This window comes from Homo sapiens, chromosome 8, assembly GCF_000001405.40.
Source record: "Homo sapiens chromosome 8, GRCh38.p14 Primary Assembly".
NCBI lineage: Eukaryota > Metazoa > Chordata > Mammalia > Primates > Hominidae > Homo > Homo sapiens.
Window position 1 is genome coordinate 70422557 of NC_000008.11, and position 17248 is coordinate 70439804.

At 38.4% G+C, this 17248-nt stretch overlaps 1 protein-coding gene and 1 pseudogene across 1 annotated transcript in view; both read right to left on the reverse strand.

The window, feature by feature from the left end:
• The window catches only part of NCOA2 (nuclear receptor coactivator 2), a 346665-nt gene that overhangs the window by 312775 nt on the left and 16642 nt on the right, over positions 1-17248 (reverse strand). The gene's annotated exons all lie outside the window — the stretch shown is intronic.
• On the reverse strand, positions 1531-2063 carry RPS18P11 (ribosomal protein S18 pseudogene 11; annotated as a pseudogene).

The following is a 17248-nucleotide window of genomic DNA, read 5'->3' on the forward strand; positions in this document are numbered from 1 at the left end:
TGCACCACCACACCCAGCTAATTTTCGTGTTTTTGGTAGAGACGTGGTCTTACTATGTTGCCTAGGATGATCTTGAACTCCTGGGCTCAAGCAATCTTCCCACCTCCCAGTGTTGCGATTACAGGTGTGAGCCACTGAGCCTGGCCAAAATGCTGTTTTTAAAAAAAGTTCATGAGCTTTTTATTCCTTCCTATTCTTTTTGTGTTTTTTTTCTTTTAAATATACAGTTAATCCCATATTGTATATACAATTTTATATTCTGATTTTTCACTATCATATCTTTCATATTTTATGTATGTCATTAAAATGTTGTTACGTTTTCTTTTTATTTTTTCTTTTGAGATGAGGTCTTGCTATGTTTCCCAGGCTGGCCTCTAACTCCTAGGCTCAGCCTCCTGAGTGGCTGGGATTACAGGGGCCGCCACTGTGCCCCACTCATTATTTTTCTTTTAAGAGCTATATAATGTTCAGTCATATGGCTGTACTGTAATGTATTAACCTCCTGATTGGGATGTTCATGGTACAGCTCAGTGTGTTTTCATCTCCACTATACTCTTTCCCTCCACTTGGCTCAGTGTAAAGGCTGAGCCTTCTTTATACTTTCTTTTTTTCTTGTGGTTTTTTGTTTTGTTTTGTTTTGTTTTGAGACAGAGTTTTGTTCTTGTTGCTCAGGCTGTAGTGCAATGGCACGATCTTGGCTCACTGCAACCTCTGCCCCCCAGGTTCAAGTGATTCTCCTGCCTCAGCCTCCCAAGTAGCTGGGGTTACAGGCATGTACCACCATGCCTGGCTAATTTTGTATTTTTAGTAAAGACGGGATTTCACCATGTTGGTCAGGCTGGTCTGGAACTCCTGACCTCAGGTGATCTGCCCACCTTGGCCTCCCGGAGTGCTGGGATTGAGCCACCGCGCCTGGGCTTTCTTTATACTTTCTAATTGAATCCTCTGAAGTGCAGGAGATCATAAGATGAAAATTTTTCTCTCTCATTGCTGCAGTGTGTGAAATGGTCTCTTGGTGATATAAATTGTAATTTGTCCTTTTTGGAGGTCTCGCCCTAATGAGGGGGAAGGAAGAGAACATGACCGAAGGCTGACTCCACACAAGGCCTTCTGTAAAGGTTGTCACATGTCACCACCCAGTGAGGGAATCACTATCCCACTTCATGGAATAATAAGCGGAGACTCAAAGGAACGAGTAACTGGCTACAAAAGTGGGGTACCAGGGTAAAATTGGGTTCAATCCACCCCAGATCTGTGCCAAGTGGTCCTGGGCAGCACACTCTTGTCCCACAGCAGCAATAGAGCCAGCACAGGGTCCCCGACACTCTCCGCCAATCCAGTCTTCCCTCAGCTCCGATCTCGATCTCTTTTCTTGGCTGCACAATGGCCTCTCCTGTGATTAACATCTTATTTTTTGATGAGGATCCTTAGCATACAGCAGATAGTTTGTTTTCCAGAGGATATACAAATGAATGGTTATTTAATGTTTAGAGCAGGGAGCAGCAAACTTTCTCTTTTCCTTTTTCTTTTGGTATATAAACTATGTATTAGCAGACAAGGCCACAGACTTAGTGCTTCTTGGACACAGCCATAGTATGGCCACAGTGGCCAGTGGTCTTAATGTGCTGGCTTCAGACACGAAGACCCCAGAAGTGGTGCAGCCCTCTACAGGCTGGAATCTTCTTCAGTTGCTCCAGGTCTTCACGGAGCTTGTTATCCAGATCATTCGCCAGGACCTGGCTATAGTTTCCAGCCTTTCCATCCTTCTGCCTGTTCAAGAACCAGTTGGGGATCTTGAATGCATGGATTCTGCTTAGTGGCAATCATATGTTCCACCTCATCCTCAGAGAGTCCTGTGCTCTTGGTGAGGTTAGTGTCTGCTTTCTCAATACCACATGAGCATATCTTCGACCCACACCCTCAATGGCAGTGATGGCAAAGGCTATTTTCTGCCAACATGGATGTTGGTGTTGAGTACTCGCAAAATATGCTGGAATTTCTCAGGGATCACAAGAGATAAGGCAGCAGCACAAGCGGCGGTGTGCAGGCCTCCTGTGGAAGAGCAAACTTTTTCTGCAAAAAGCCAGATCGTGAATATTTTAGCCTTTGTGAAATACGTGATCCCCGTCCTAACTACTCAATTCTGTCTTTGTAGTAGGAAAGCAGCCACAGACAATGTGAAACAATGGGTGGTCTGTGTTGCAGTAAAACGTTATTTAAGCACGCAAATGTGAATTTCATGTAATATTCATTGCTTACAAAGTGTTACTCTTCTTTTGAGTTGTTTCCATCCACTTGAAGATGTACAAACCATCCCTAGCTCAAGGGCAGTTCAAAAGGCAGCGTGGATCATCATTTGCCAAGTGCCCCACCTCCCAAATGGGTGGAGTGTTCAAATGTCCAGGCTGCTGAAGTGAGGGCCACTCACTCCACTAGGACAGTTCTAAAGGACATACATAAACAGAGATCTCAGCCACTAAACTCCTACTTGTACATTAACATGTGCGGAAGGTAGGTGATAGGCGATGACAGAAATGCATCTTCTAGAAACTAGGCAATACTAAATACCCTCCCAAAGCTGGAATTCAGTTAGCACTCCTGTTTCTGGAAGGCATCCTTGCACTAAGCATGAGGTCTTGTTATTTCCATCTCCATTCCAACCATCTCTCTAAGAATCACTCACTCTGGGCTCTCAGTACCTGCAGTGCTCCCCTTTATTTTTTTTAATCTGCATTTTTAAAACATTTCAATAGTTTTTGGGGTACAGGTGGTTTTTGGTTTCATGGATGAGTTCTTTAGTGGTGACTCCTGAGAATTTAGTGGTGCCCTCCTTTAAAGACTGCCTGTCACCCCACCCAGCCCCTCCCTTCGGTGGCCACACTAGAATTTGAAGCTTAAACTAACTCCCCTCCCTGAACTCCTCACATCCTGTTCCCTGCCCCATTCCTCTACCTTCTTAGCCACTTTCACTCCATTCCTTTTACTGCCTCAATGGCAACAATTATTCCACCCATCAGATCCATGACCAATTGTTTCTATTACTTTTTCACCGTGCTTCACCCAAATCAAATCCTCACTTTCCTCCTTATCCAGCCTAAATTTCAACGTCAATCCTGATACTGTCTTCTTTGCTTGCACACTAAGTCTAGTTTTTAGCACCTGGGTGGTGTCTTTAATTCAGACAGAACGCAAGGGAGAAGATGTGGGAAGTAGAAAAGATGATGCAAACCCCATACCCTCCCCACTGGCTGCACTGCCCATGCCTGGTGATGCCTTTGGTGCTAGGGGCTTTGTGTGCCACTATGGCCCTAGGACTGCCTGCTCCCCAGCCTGAGTCTGGGTCCACGACTCATTTGCTCTTCCAAGCAACAGGCCTAAGGCACAATCAGAGGATGGAATGTGAATGGAACTGGATTTTCCAAAATTATCTGGATCACTGTCTTCATTTCCCTTAGCTCTTTCAGGTATATTATTCATGAAATAAATCTGAGCAGAGAATAAAAATTAGATGCTAAGTAAACAGCAAAACTCTTCTCTTCATAGTGGGGTAATTTATGCCTCTGGGCCAAAAGAGAGATGACCTAATACCTTCTACTGGGAAGTAACAAGTTTGGGAGGTAGACTAGTCATTCCATCCATTACAACTGATAATCTAAACTAATGCACTCTTAGAGATACTGAACATGTTTCAGAGCAAGCAAAATGTGTATATGATATGACACTATTTTTGTGACCGATAAAAACATTCATACTAAAATAAAACTAAGAAACAAAATAACTGCCTTTCAACAGATCAGTGTGATTAATAGATGATAAGGTATTACACTTTATATATTTAATTTTATAAATTATTCATATAGTTACATGAAATTGTACTGAAGAAATCAATTCAAATTGACATAATTATGGGCACTGGAATATAAACTAAGAACTGACTAAAAGACCAGCAGAAAACCTGTCATGCTTTAAGTTAAAGGCAGGCACTGTGAACTCTTTGATACCTGGCATGCTGTCAACTAGAAAGCTTTAGTGAGTGGTTCTTTGATCTACCCATTCAATATTATTTGATCCAAGTTCGTGGAGGGCAAGGTCTATGTCTTATGCATCTGTTTGTTTTAAAATTTCTTGCACCTTGTTCTGTGCCCGGCATGTAGTAAACTCAAAAAATAGAGCTGAAATGAATCAATGAGTGAATGAATGAATATGGTGGTGAGGATGAGACACTACAAAACTCTGAATTGGTTTTTGGTTTTGTGTTTTTAGAGACAGGGTCTTGCTGAGGCTGGAGTGCAGTGTCACTGTCATAGCTCACTGTAGCCTCAACCTTCCGGGCTCAAAGGATCCTCCTGCCTCAGCTTCCCAAGTAGCTGGTATTACAGGTGTGTGCCACCACACTCTACTAATTTTTAAATTTTTAAATTTATCCCTATGTTGCACAGTCTGGTTTTGAATTCCTGGGCTCAAGTGATCCTCCAACCTCAGCCTCCTGAAGTGCTGGGGTTACAGGTGTGAGCACAGTAATACTAGTATATCTGGCCTGGTTTTGTTTTTTTAAGCCAAGAAAGCCTAAATTATATTCAGTATGTATTATATTCTAACACTGTGCCAAATTGTAATTCTCAATTAAATTAATATTTTTAAAGTGGCCTTGAAGTTAGTAATAATTTGGTTTTCAGGAGGAAAAATGAGCATTTCATTAAAACAGAGAAACTAGTAAAATGAGAAATAAAATGAAAATTAACTATGAATCTTTAAATATAAAAGTTTTACTTTAAAAAGGAAGAGTAAGATATCATCAGGTAGAGAATTATATCTGAGCATAAGTAGGGATGTGTTCACACGAATGATCTACTAGAATCAGATATATAAAGTGTAACACCTTTTCATTTACTAATCTTACATCTCTATTTAAAAGCAGTTAAATTTCCTCAGATTATCTATTGGTCAGCGAAATAGTGTTATATCATTTAAATATTTTAGTACCAAAAAAAGCCCCAAGCAAATAGCTCGATAACCTGCTGCTTGAATATTCTAAAAGCCCTTACAAAGTGTCTTAATGTTATAAAAAGTTGAGTAGTGATTTCCCACAATTTGTACAAGTGGTACCCCTTCTCCCAGCCTCTGCCCCTGTTCAATTTCTCTCAACTTACTGGAGCAAACTATTTATGCTGAAAGTTGGCCGTAGGAGGAAGATGCCAGGAGAGGAGCTCTGTGGTCCCCAAATTTATGACATATGCCATGTGACACTCCGTCAACATGATTGCAAGCCAGTGGTTTACATTCACTTTCTAGGAAGTCAAACCAGGCAGGGTATAACTGTGATGTTGTGGCTTTTCCAGCTTCATAAATTCAGTATTTTAGTTACGTATGGATAAATGTCACAATTATATGCCACAAAAATCAGTTCACATAAACCTGTCCTTCTTGAGGTTTTTTTTAAGTGAAAAAGGAAAGTCTAAAATGTTTAAAATTTTGAATAAAATATACTTGAATCTCTGATTAAAATGACATACAAATAAGGAAAAAAAATTGAGAAAATTAACATGGTTCTCATGGCAGGATTGATAAAAATAGGCTATATTTCCCCTCGAAGGTTTTCTCAGAATACTTTTGCTGGTCAGGCATGGTGGTTCACACCTATAATCCCAGTGCTTTGAGAAGTTGAGGAGGGAGGACTGCTTGAGTTCAGGAGTTTGACACCAGCCAGGAAACATAGGGAGAACCTGTCTCTACAAAAAAAAAAAAATACAAAAATTAGCAGGGCATGATGGCATGCACCTATAATTTCAGCTACTCCAGAGGCTGAGGCGGGAGGATCCCTTGAGCCTGGGAGGTTGAGGCTGCAGTAAGCTATAATCATGCCACTTCACTTCATCCTGGGCAAGACCTGTCTTTCTCTATAAATATAAAAATAAAAATTAGTCAGCCATGGTTGTACATGCCTGTTGTCCCAGCTACTCAGGAGGCTGAGGCAGGAGGATTGCTGGAGCCCAGGAGGTCAAGGCTGCGGTGAGCTGGGATTGCGCCACTGCACTTTACCTGGGTGGCAGAGTGAGACCATATCTAAAAATAAAAATAAAAATAACTTGCTGTTATCTAAAAAAATTGTTTAAGGAAGAAATTATAATGTATCTTGCAATCTTTAATTTCCAGCTGTTCTACTGTCAATGATGACAGGAGACAGGAATTTAGCTTAGCAGTGTGCCCAAAGCAAGGCAGCATAGCAACTATTCTGTAGGGCAAATTGCTCAGCGAGCAATATGCCCTCTGTGTGGCAATCTAACATGTGCCCATGCCGAGCTAATTTGCTAAAAAAAAAAAAGTTTAGAACAAAAGCTATCACTTCATGTCAGCTACTTACTGTGGGAAACGACTATATATGTTTTTGTATGATTTTCAATCTCATATAAGAAGAAGGAAGATATATTGTGGCTGATGTCAATATTTAACTATTTTGGAGTCTCTGCATTTCAAAACCTTCACAAATTTCAAAATACCAATTTTTCATTATTCTGCCTCATGCCAAAACATATTTGTCTGGATCAAGCTGAGTACAGTGCACATCAGCTTACCTTCAGGAATTATAAATGCATAATTTTGAGATGTTTTGCAGCAATACTATAATAGGCCCCATTCTTTCATTTATGTTTGAAGCCTGGTAAAAATATGTGCATGGGTGCTGGGGCATGAGGGTGAGCACCAACCTTCAAGATTGCTCCTGCTAAATGAAGGCAATTTCTCTGCTCAGAGTTGTGGAGGCTGAAAGCATCCACAAGGTTGTTCCAGAGGTGACAAGCCTTTCAATTAAGTGGAGCTACTTAGGTATGCCTTTACAATAAAGCAGGAGTGCTGTAACTGTGTTGTAATTCCCCTTAATGTATGCATTTTTCTTTCTGCTTCCCTTCCTTCCTCCATTTCATCCTTTCTTGCTTGCTACTTTATTTGTAAATTTATGTTTCTTTCTAGATTAGAGTCACTTTGTACACATGTAGGGCAATTTCTCCCAGAGTTGTGATGGTTGTAAAGTCATCCCTAAGAATCTTGTTTGACATCTCACTGTCTTCTTATACAGGCAAAGAATAAGGGGAAATATGGAACAATCATAATTAACCATAAATGGAGAGTATAAAAGTAATACATATGAGGTTTTAAATCTCAATCGTCAATTTCAAGAACAGGATTAAAGACTAAAATCATAAAGATATCAGCAAAAGTGATTTGTACACTCAAAAAGAATGTAGGGCTTTAATACATGTTTTATTTTTATTTTTAGTTAAAGGACCTTTGCTTTTGTTTTTGTGTGTGTGGGGTTTTTGTTTTGTTTTCTTTTTTTGAGACAGGGTCGCCCTCCGTCAGCCCAGGCTGGAGTGCCATGGTGTGATCATGGCTGGGCTGAAGCGATCCCCCTGTCTCAGCCTTCCGAGCAGCAGGGATTACAGGAGTGTGCCACCACACCTGGCTAATTTTCTTATTTCGTGTAGAGATAGGGTCTCACTTTGTTGCTCAGGCTGATCTTGAACTCTTGGGCTCGAGTGATCCTCCCATCTCGGGTTCCCAAAGTGCTAGGATTACAGGCATGAGCCACTGAGCCCAACCTGTATTTTTTAATAATGGTGAAGTGCAACTATGAATTGTAATAGAAAGCAAGCTAAACAATATATGGAAAATTAGTCTTGCCTTAAGTAAGCTTTCCCAAAATTTTGAATTTACCTTACAGATAAAATGAGATAAAAAGGCAAAATCTCTTGCCCCTTTAAGGAAAATGGCATAACATCACAGACATTTGATAACTACTTTTACTTCAATAATTATCTTTACTTTTACAATAGCACTACATTTTTTACAGCTTTATAAAGGGATAATTGGCACACAATAAACAGCAGTTAATTACAGTGGGTAAATTTTGACATATGTATATATCCTTGAAACCGCCACCTTGATGGAGATAGCCAACATAGTCATCTCCAAATGTTTTCTTCTGCCTTGTGGCAGTTCCTCGCTCAGTTTCCTGCCCTCTACCCCCTTTCTTTGGCTCAACCACTGCCTCATTGGCTGTCATGATAGGTTAGTTCGGCATTACGTTTAATAATCTGTAAGGAAAACAAAAATGTTCCCTTTCACTCAATTAAAAAAAATGGTTGCTTCGTTTCTTAACTGGAAGGTAAAGTAATAGTGTTGGAGTGAGGAGGAAGACACACAGGTCATCAGAAGGAACTCTCACCTGAGTAATGATTTTGCCGATTATTTTTCATACTCCACAGCCTAATGCTAATTGGATTAAAGATTCAAGAATCCAGGAAATGAAGTAAAAAAGGTATGTTGAGTTTAATAAATAACGGGTTTTTTTCTACCTTATCTATCAACTTATTTCTAGTTAATAAATGGATTTACGAAATCTGGCCAAAAATGAAGGTCTCCACTGATAAATGCTCAAAACAAGCTGTATGTTGGAGTTTTATGTCAATAATAAGGCAAATTGTTGCAAATGACATTAAAACACTAAACTCTATCTTATGAAAGTGTGATTTTATTCCATTACAATATGTAAAAATTATATATGCAGATAAGTAAAGACTGGCTGAGAATCTCAAAAATGACAGTTCAATTTTGCTGGCTTGTGGAATTATGTGTATATATTTTAAATTAAATAAATATTTTATTATGTATAATAAATAATTTATTTCTACCCCTTTCCAATATACATTATTCTATTGAACTTGGAGGGTTCGCTTTTGCATTTTGAGAGTGTTTTTGTAAGATGTGATATCTAAAATAAGCTCAATACTTCATTTTATAAACAGCACATTTTTCATTCTCTTGACATTGCCAAAGGATAATGCTGTACATTGAAACATAAAACAAAAATAGACCCAACTCTGTTGGAAGCATAATATATGTAGCACTAATGCTACTTATTGATTACCACAAAGGTGTTTGCTTTTGCTTTTTGTAGCTCTTCCACTGTAGAGCAAGAAACCAGAAATACACTATTTGTGAAAGGTGGTTGTACTAAAATGTTTTCTTGTGGTGAATGCTTATTCCACACTCTCATAAAACAAATTAGTCTTTCATGATGAATGAAGTATTCGTTCTTTGGGCTATATGCATTTCAAACCTTGAATATGCTTAGATAAATTTAATAGCAGAAATCTGTGTAAAATACATAGCTTAACATATACTTTATACATGGGTTTGTATATGAATTTTAATTAAAATATGTTTCAAATAGTCTATTAGTTTCAATTACTGTTTACATAGTGTTGAAAGATATGGCAGTGACCAACCTAATTTGACAATTTACTAAAATATTTTTTATTCATATAGTTCTGATTTAAAAGATACAGACGTATTTTCAAATCAATTCATACACTTGAAAGACATGTTTTTGAGCACTCTGTATTTAGCACCAGACTAGGAATCAAAGTTTATTTGAACGGAATAGTAAATGGTAAAATCAGAGCGTGCTCTCAAGCACACAAAATTAGGGAGGACATAAAAGTAAACCAGTGGTTGATAACCATAGGTACAGATGATTATATGGATGAGTCCTAGATAGGTATTTACACTACTTGCTAATACTGATCATTGCAAAGATACTGCAAGTCCATCTTCATTACTGGTTTTGAATCTGTTAACAATTTCCCTGACAGTGAGGCTGAAGTAGACAGTTTTGAAATGAAACAGTTCTGTGGATCTGTGGATTTGATTTACAAATGAAATATTTCTATGATGTATCTGCTCTACAAAGATTTTAGATGAGAGGGTCTTCATTTCAGACTGGCAGTTGGCCAACCAAAATTGAACTCAGAAAATTCTGGGTTTTGGCTGGACACGGTGGCTCATGCCTGTAATCCCAGAATTTTGGGAGGCCAAGGTGAGAGGATTGCTTGAGGCCAGGGGTTTGAGATCAGCCTGGGCAACAAAGCAAGACTCTGTCTCTACAAAAATAAAAACAAATTAACCAGGCCTAGGGGCATGCACCTGTAGTCCCAGCTACTCGAAAGGCCGAGGCAGGAGGATTGCTTGAACCCAGGAGATGGAGGCTTCAGTGAGCTAGGATTGCACCACTGCACTCCAGCCTGGGCAATACAGTGACACCTTGTCTCAAAAAATAAATAAATAAAAATAAATAAAATAAAGTAAAATCCTAGGGTTCACTCACAAAAACAAATAAATGCTGAATTCCCAGGAAATAAAATTACAATAAAAATTCTTTTTAATGGTAATTTCATGCTTATATGTATTTTTATATTTCCTATAATAAGTTTAGATATAGCAAAGTTAAAAATCTATGTTTTGGTTAAAGCCCCAATATTTTAACAAAAAACAGCTGATTTTAATCTATTTCTTTCAGTGATTTATGTATTACTTGGGAATTCTATTGTTTATATATTGATTACAGGCTATAATTACATTAAATAAACTGAGAAAGCATGTCACAAACCAGTTTTAGCAATAACTATATTTTTACATATCTGTCTTTTGAAAAAGTGGACTGGATATTTATATTTTACTTGGTAATATCTCAATTTCCTCAATAAGTAAGTCAGTAAATTGAATTTATAGTTTATTTTGTCTGCCCTCCCATCAAATTATATGAATAAGAAATACTGTGGTCTCATAACATAATTCTATTTCCAAGAGAAAGAACATGCAAGTCTGTAGAATAATAGTCAATAGTGATTTTTGTCAAAATATATTTATTGAGCATCTATAGTACACAAGGCACTGTAGGGGTGATAGCAATATATTTTGTTTGATGTCTTTGCTTTTAAGAGAAGTACACTAAAAAAAAAAAAAGAGGAGTCCACTTTAGGTAGGAATTCACATTCAGGCAACAAATACAGGACATGTTTTCCATTCTATATGTCAAAGGTAGCTTTGGTGGATTCCCATATGCCAATTTAGGGCCTCTGATTCAGACATTTTCAAAGTGACCTTGTTAAAAATGAGTTACAAGCCTCAAAAATGTAGAGTGTGAGTGGTGATGGAATGGTATGCCCAATGAGGTCAGATCATATAGGGCCTACATTCTTTATGCAATGCCGCTACTGAAGAGTTTCAAAGCAGGGAACAGTTTTCTAGACAGAAGTGATAAGACTGTGAATTTAGTAATATATTTGACTAGAAAGGAGAGTAAAGATCTGAGAAATGTTAAGGAAGTACAGTTGTCAAGACTTGGTCACTCGCTGAATGTGACCGGTGACAAATGCTTCCAGGTTTCTGGCTTGGGTGATGAGATGGATGAAGTTGCCGCTTCTTAAAGGGGGCACCAGGAGGAGAAGCACACATGCAGAAAAAGGTCATTCCCTGTGGGATGTGTTAAGTTTTATGTAATTTGGGGGACTTGACAATGAAATGTCCACTAGGCAGTCTGGTCCTCTGGAACTTCAGGGAAAAAAATATTTGCTGGGATGAAAGATTTCAGATTCATTATATAAATGAGACTCATTAGCATGTGTGTTGTCATCGAAATCATGGAAGTGAATGAAATTGCACAGGGTCCTCAGTAAATGTTACTGGGTCTAATGAATAAATAAATAACCAGGGAAGATTAAAAGAGAGAACTCAGAGGTCAAGGAGGAGCTCCAAAATAATAGGGAAAGTGCCAGGCAGGATAAACAGAACCCACTCTGTAAGTTTCCTCAGGATTGTCTTCGGTCATCGGAACATATGTTCTGTAGCAGAATACCATAAAAACAAGCATACTATAAATAAAGTTTTAAGAAAACTTCAATAATTAATAACTTGGAGATAAAATTGATACGATAACATTACTTGGAGATAGCTAAATTAGCTATTTCAGAACTGACACATTCTAGCAGACTGAATCTACATCATTATGGAGCTAGCTCATGAATCCACATTATTAATGAAATGTGAACATCACCCCTTCAATTTGCTCTCTGAGAAAAGAAAAAACACAGCATGAAGCTTGAGAGGCATTATTAAATAGGAGTTATGAGCACAAACTTTAGCGTAGTGTTTCTCAATCTCATTTTCTTTCTTTCTTTCTTTTTTCTTTTTTTGGAAACAGGGTCTTGCTCTGTTGCCTAGGCTGGAGCTCAGTGATGGAATCATAGCTCCTTGCAGCCTTGACCTTCGGGGCTCACGTGATCTTCTTGCCTCAGCCTCCAAGTAGCTAGAACTACATGTGGGTGCCACCATGCCCAGATAATTTTTTTAAAATTTTCATAAAGATAGGGGTAATACTGTGTTGCTCAGCCTGGTCTTGAACTCCTGGGTTCAAGCCATCCTCCCACCTTGGTTTCTCAAAGTGCAATTTCATCCACTCCCATGATTTTGATGACAACACATATGCTAATGATCTCATTTATATAATGAATCTGAGATTACAGGTGTAACCACTGCCCTCAGCCTTCATTTTCATTGCACTCCTAAGGAGATATTTTAGACATATTTTTCTTAACCAATCTCTCCTTCCCCATGAGATTTTAATTCTATTTGTGTACTATGTGACTGTTTATGTATCTGTCCCTTGGGAGGGCCACAAACCTTGGTAATATCTAAGATTTTGTTTTTATCCCCTAAAAATCAATTTCTGCTCTCATTAAGAATACACACTCGGCCGGGCGCGGTGGCTCACGCCTGTAATCCCAGCACTTTGGGAGGCCGAGGCGGGCGGATCACGAGGTCAGGAGATCGAGACCATCCTGGCTAACACGGTGAAACCCCGTCTCTACTAAAAATACAAAAAATTAGCCGGGCGTGGTGGTGGGCGCCTGTAATCCCAGCTACTCGGGAGGCTGAGGCAGGAGAATGGCATGAACCCAAGAGGCGGAGCTTGCAGTGAGCCGGGATAGCGCCACTGCAGTCCAGCTTGGGCGAAAGAGTGAGACTCCGTCTCAAAAAAAAAAAAAAAAAAAAAAAAAAAAAGAATACACACTCTGGAGAGTCACACTGCCCCAACTGAGGTCCTAGCTCTACTGCTTTTTAGCTGTGTGACCTTGTACAAGCTACTTAATCTCTCTGTTCTCCAGTTTTCTCTTCTGTAAAATGGGGATAATAATAGTACTGTCCTCATAGGAGTGCTGTGAAGATTGAATAAATTCACACATGTAAAATACCTAGCAAGCCTAACACATAAACAGCAATTACTCCTTTTCTACTTATATATATATAAGTATAATACTTACACTTATATATATATATATATGATCTTCCTCTCTTTCTTTTCTTTATTTTAATTTTATCTTGTTACATTTATTTTTGTGAATGTTCACTTTGTGTTTAATAATTTTGCTGCTTATAATTTAGAAAACCTTTTTTAGAGACAAGGTCTTGCTATGTTGCCCAGGCTGACCTCTAACTCCTAGGCTTAAGCAATCCTCCTGCTTCAGCCTCCTGAGTAGCTAGGACTACAGGTGCGTGCCACGACGTCTGACATAGAAAACATTTTATTATTAGTTTTATCCATGATCGTTTTTCCTCTCCATGATGTGTAAGAATGAATTGACTTCATATAAGTTTTATTCAACTGTGTTTAATAAAGCCATATTTTTAAAGGAAAAAAAGTAATTCTTTCCCCAAAAACTAGATACCAAAACAAAAAACAAATAATAAAACTAGGTACTAGTTTTCAGAGGCATGCATTTTATTTCCATGTCTCATATTTTCTGTTTTAGCCTAATGCCCAGACGTTGATTATTTGTAAGCATTACCACAATTCTAGATAAAACCAGAGTTATTTGGTAGACTGTTCAACTAAAATTTTAAAATTTTTTCCAAATTTTTAGTATTATATAGCCAACGTTTATTACATGTGTGAAAGTTGGTCAGGTATAAAGTGAGCACCTGCCCTTGGAGGTCACCCACATCTCAGGATCACACAGCATTCCTAGGAACTTTCACAACATGGTAAAGGCCATTAGTTCTCGTGCAGCTGTGAAGTTGAATACTGAGCTACAAATGGTTTCGTGTTCCCATATCAGTAAGCCATGTACCCAGGTATGTCATATCTCCTCCAGTTTGCCTAGATGTAACAATATTTTGCCACACATTTCATAGTTTACCTGTGATTGTCAAAATCCTTTATCCACTCCATAGAACTACTAAAGGCTTTAACCAGCAGTTTTGATTATGAAAAAGCAGTGGCTCAAATTGCTGAACCAGAGTGCTGATTAAATTGAAGCTATTCAAAACATGGATTGATCACTTATTACATATGTGTGGAATACAAAGGTGAATAAACTCACAACCCTGACACTAAGCAGCACACATAACCACTATACAAGGCAGAAAGGGATAATGAGACGACACAGGTATGACCACCGTTATCTGAAGCATAGAGGAGGGGAACAACACATTTAGCTGAGGGGATTGGGAAATGCATTTTGGAGGAGGTGGCATTTGAGAACGGCCATATAGGATTTCAAAGGGCCTTTTAGGAAAAATATCTTGGGATATGATGAAATTCCATTCATTTACAAGGCCCTGCAAGGGGCGTGCTCTGTCACATACTTTCTCTCTGGAGCTTCACCTGAACATGTTCCTGTCCTTTCTCTGGTCTAGCCACATAGGCCCATCTTAGTTCCTGGTACCCTCTCTCCTGTCACATGATTTCTACATATGCTATTCCCTCTGGCTGGAACAACTTTGTACCACCTTTTTACCTATGTAACTCCTAATTATCCTTCAGACCCCAGCCCAAGTGCCACCTCCTCAGGGAAGCCTTGGAGATCAAATCCTCTCACACAGGCTCTCATGCCATTCATTTGTATGATCACTTGATTGAAGTCTGTGTGCCCCAGTGGATCATAAGCTCCACGGGGGCACCAACTGTGTGTATTACTTCACCTTTGTATTACCTGCATCTGGCAGAATGTCTGACACCTACCAGGTGCTTAATAATTGGTATTGAATGAATACATGAATTAATATGAGCCAAGGAAAGCACAGAGGTGTGTTTGGAAACTGATAAAAAATCTGGTTTGACCGAAGAAATAATCTTCAAGTTTATGTTCAGACACAATGATGACATACAAATTGTCCAAAAGTGTTTTTCTGGTAAAATTTAAAAATGGCTCCTGTTTCCCAGTGCATAAGACAATACATTCATGGATAGATTTCTCCACTTAAAGTTTTTCTCCTATATATTTTTTCTAAGCATTTGAAGACTTACAGTAGTCACAGTCTCTTTTTTTTGCCTGTAAGCATCAGTGAAGAACAAAATAAATGAATGTACAGCAAAAAATATTAGAAGAGAAAAGGTAATCATGATTAGTTTGACAACATAATCATTATAGACATTTGCTCATGGATATTGTATTATACATACATGTAACAGTTGTATTTTTCATGAGTTAAGTTTTTCCTAATTGATAGGATCCCCTTTCTACTGCAAAGAGGTAGAAAACATTGTTGGCCAGGATCAAACATTCATAGGAAAAATGTAAGTTCATTAAATCACCCACATAGCTTGAAATATTATAATTTTGCAACTGTGTAGACAAAACATCTGGATGATTAGATACATTTTTCATTTTCATCCGATTGTTTCAGAGTTACATACTCCTTCAATGGCCTAATATCTCCATGGTAACTTTATATCATATATGTACATTTTGCTTTTGCTACATATTAATTATCTGAAAACAATTTAGGATTTAAAAATCACAATTACAATAGTATGCACTAATTATTCAGAGAATTTCACTCTATTTTTGTGTTGTTTTCAGAGTTTCACAACTTTCCTATTTACTAATTCTAGGGTTTCTATTAAAAGTGTATTGTAATTCAAAACCCTAGCTTGTTCTAGGACTTTTTGGTCCATTATATTTTCCTAAAGTATTCATTTCATTCTTTTTTCTTCCTCTTTTTTATTTAATCATTAAATTATCTTATTTTACTTGGCTTTATACTAAAATAACCCAATATATTATACTGACCTCACCAAAGCTAGACATATGTACAGCATTTACTTAATTGAACTTTTCTGGCTTGTCTTGTTCTATATTTAAGCCTCCATTATGCAATGCTATTTACTTGATTTATTGGGTTTGGCTTACATGTTTTATAAATTGTGACTGTTGGGAAAATTTTAAAGAGATTGACTTGGCCTGATTGGAGAGTTTTATATTGAGGACTCGTTGCCATTGAATTTACATTTATTTTAAAAAATACATGCATTTTAATAAGGACCTTGATCTGGGAATAAATAACACTGGCTTCCAGTAGCTAGGACAAAAGGTTTCTTCCAATTTTAGATTATTTTTTCCAATTTTAGAATTTAGTTGAAGGCTCAAGTCTATGTGATACCAAACACCGAGGTGAGGGGGTGGAAATGTAGTCATTGGGATGTTTCAGGATATCTGAATAGAGGGCATTCTATAGGCCCTACATTCCAATGGTTTTCTGCATTGTCCTCTTTCTATCCAGAAATTTGGGCTTCTGCCTAAGTCCTTTTCTAAGGGCTTATACTCTTTTTCTAAGGTTATCCTTAGGGAAAATTGGTAAAGTAATAGTTACTCCATTAACCAAGTTTAACAGGGATTGCTGTGTATAGGTCCTATAATATCCTCTGATGACAGGGACTAATTCAATATAAAATACTGCCTTTTTTTCCTTTTATCTGTGGTTTAAATTCCTAAGTTTGTATGTCTCTTGCTATGCCCAGTTATATATGGAGTGCTACTATGTCCAAACACTGTGCTAAGTGCCAGGGAGTCAAAACTAAGTTAAACACAGTCCCTGCCCTGAAGGAACTCACAGAGACATAATGGAGTAGTGGCCGCATGGACAAAGTGTAGCGGTAGCATTCAAGAAGAGCAGTGCCCCACAGTACCTGGCCAGTGAGAAGGAGGAACAGGGAAAACCAGGGAAGAGGTGACCCTTGAGCTGAGTCTTCTAAGCGATTTGGGTCTGATCAGTCAGACAAGATGGGGAAGGCACTCGGGGGGAGGAAACAGCACAAATGAAGATGCAATACCTCATTCATTCAACCATTCAAAAAAATTTACTGAGCAAGTTCTATGTGCTATGAGTAGAACGCGTGGCTCTGCCTTAAGAAGTGTACTGTCAGATAGAGAAGGAAGATCTAATACGTGGATAAGGTGAACATAGTACTGTAAGAAAATAGCAGAGGCATTCCCAGGGTGGAACAGAGCTGAGGAAGGACTTCCAACCCAGATGCCCACCTGGCTCAGTTTACAATCTCAGCCCCGCGGAGGAGGCTTCTGCTGCTCTGTGCCAAGGTGGAGCCTTCTGGATCAAGCCTGCATGGACTCTA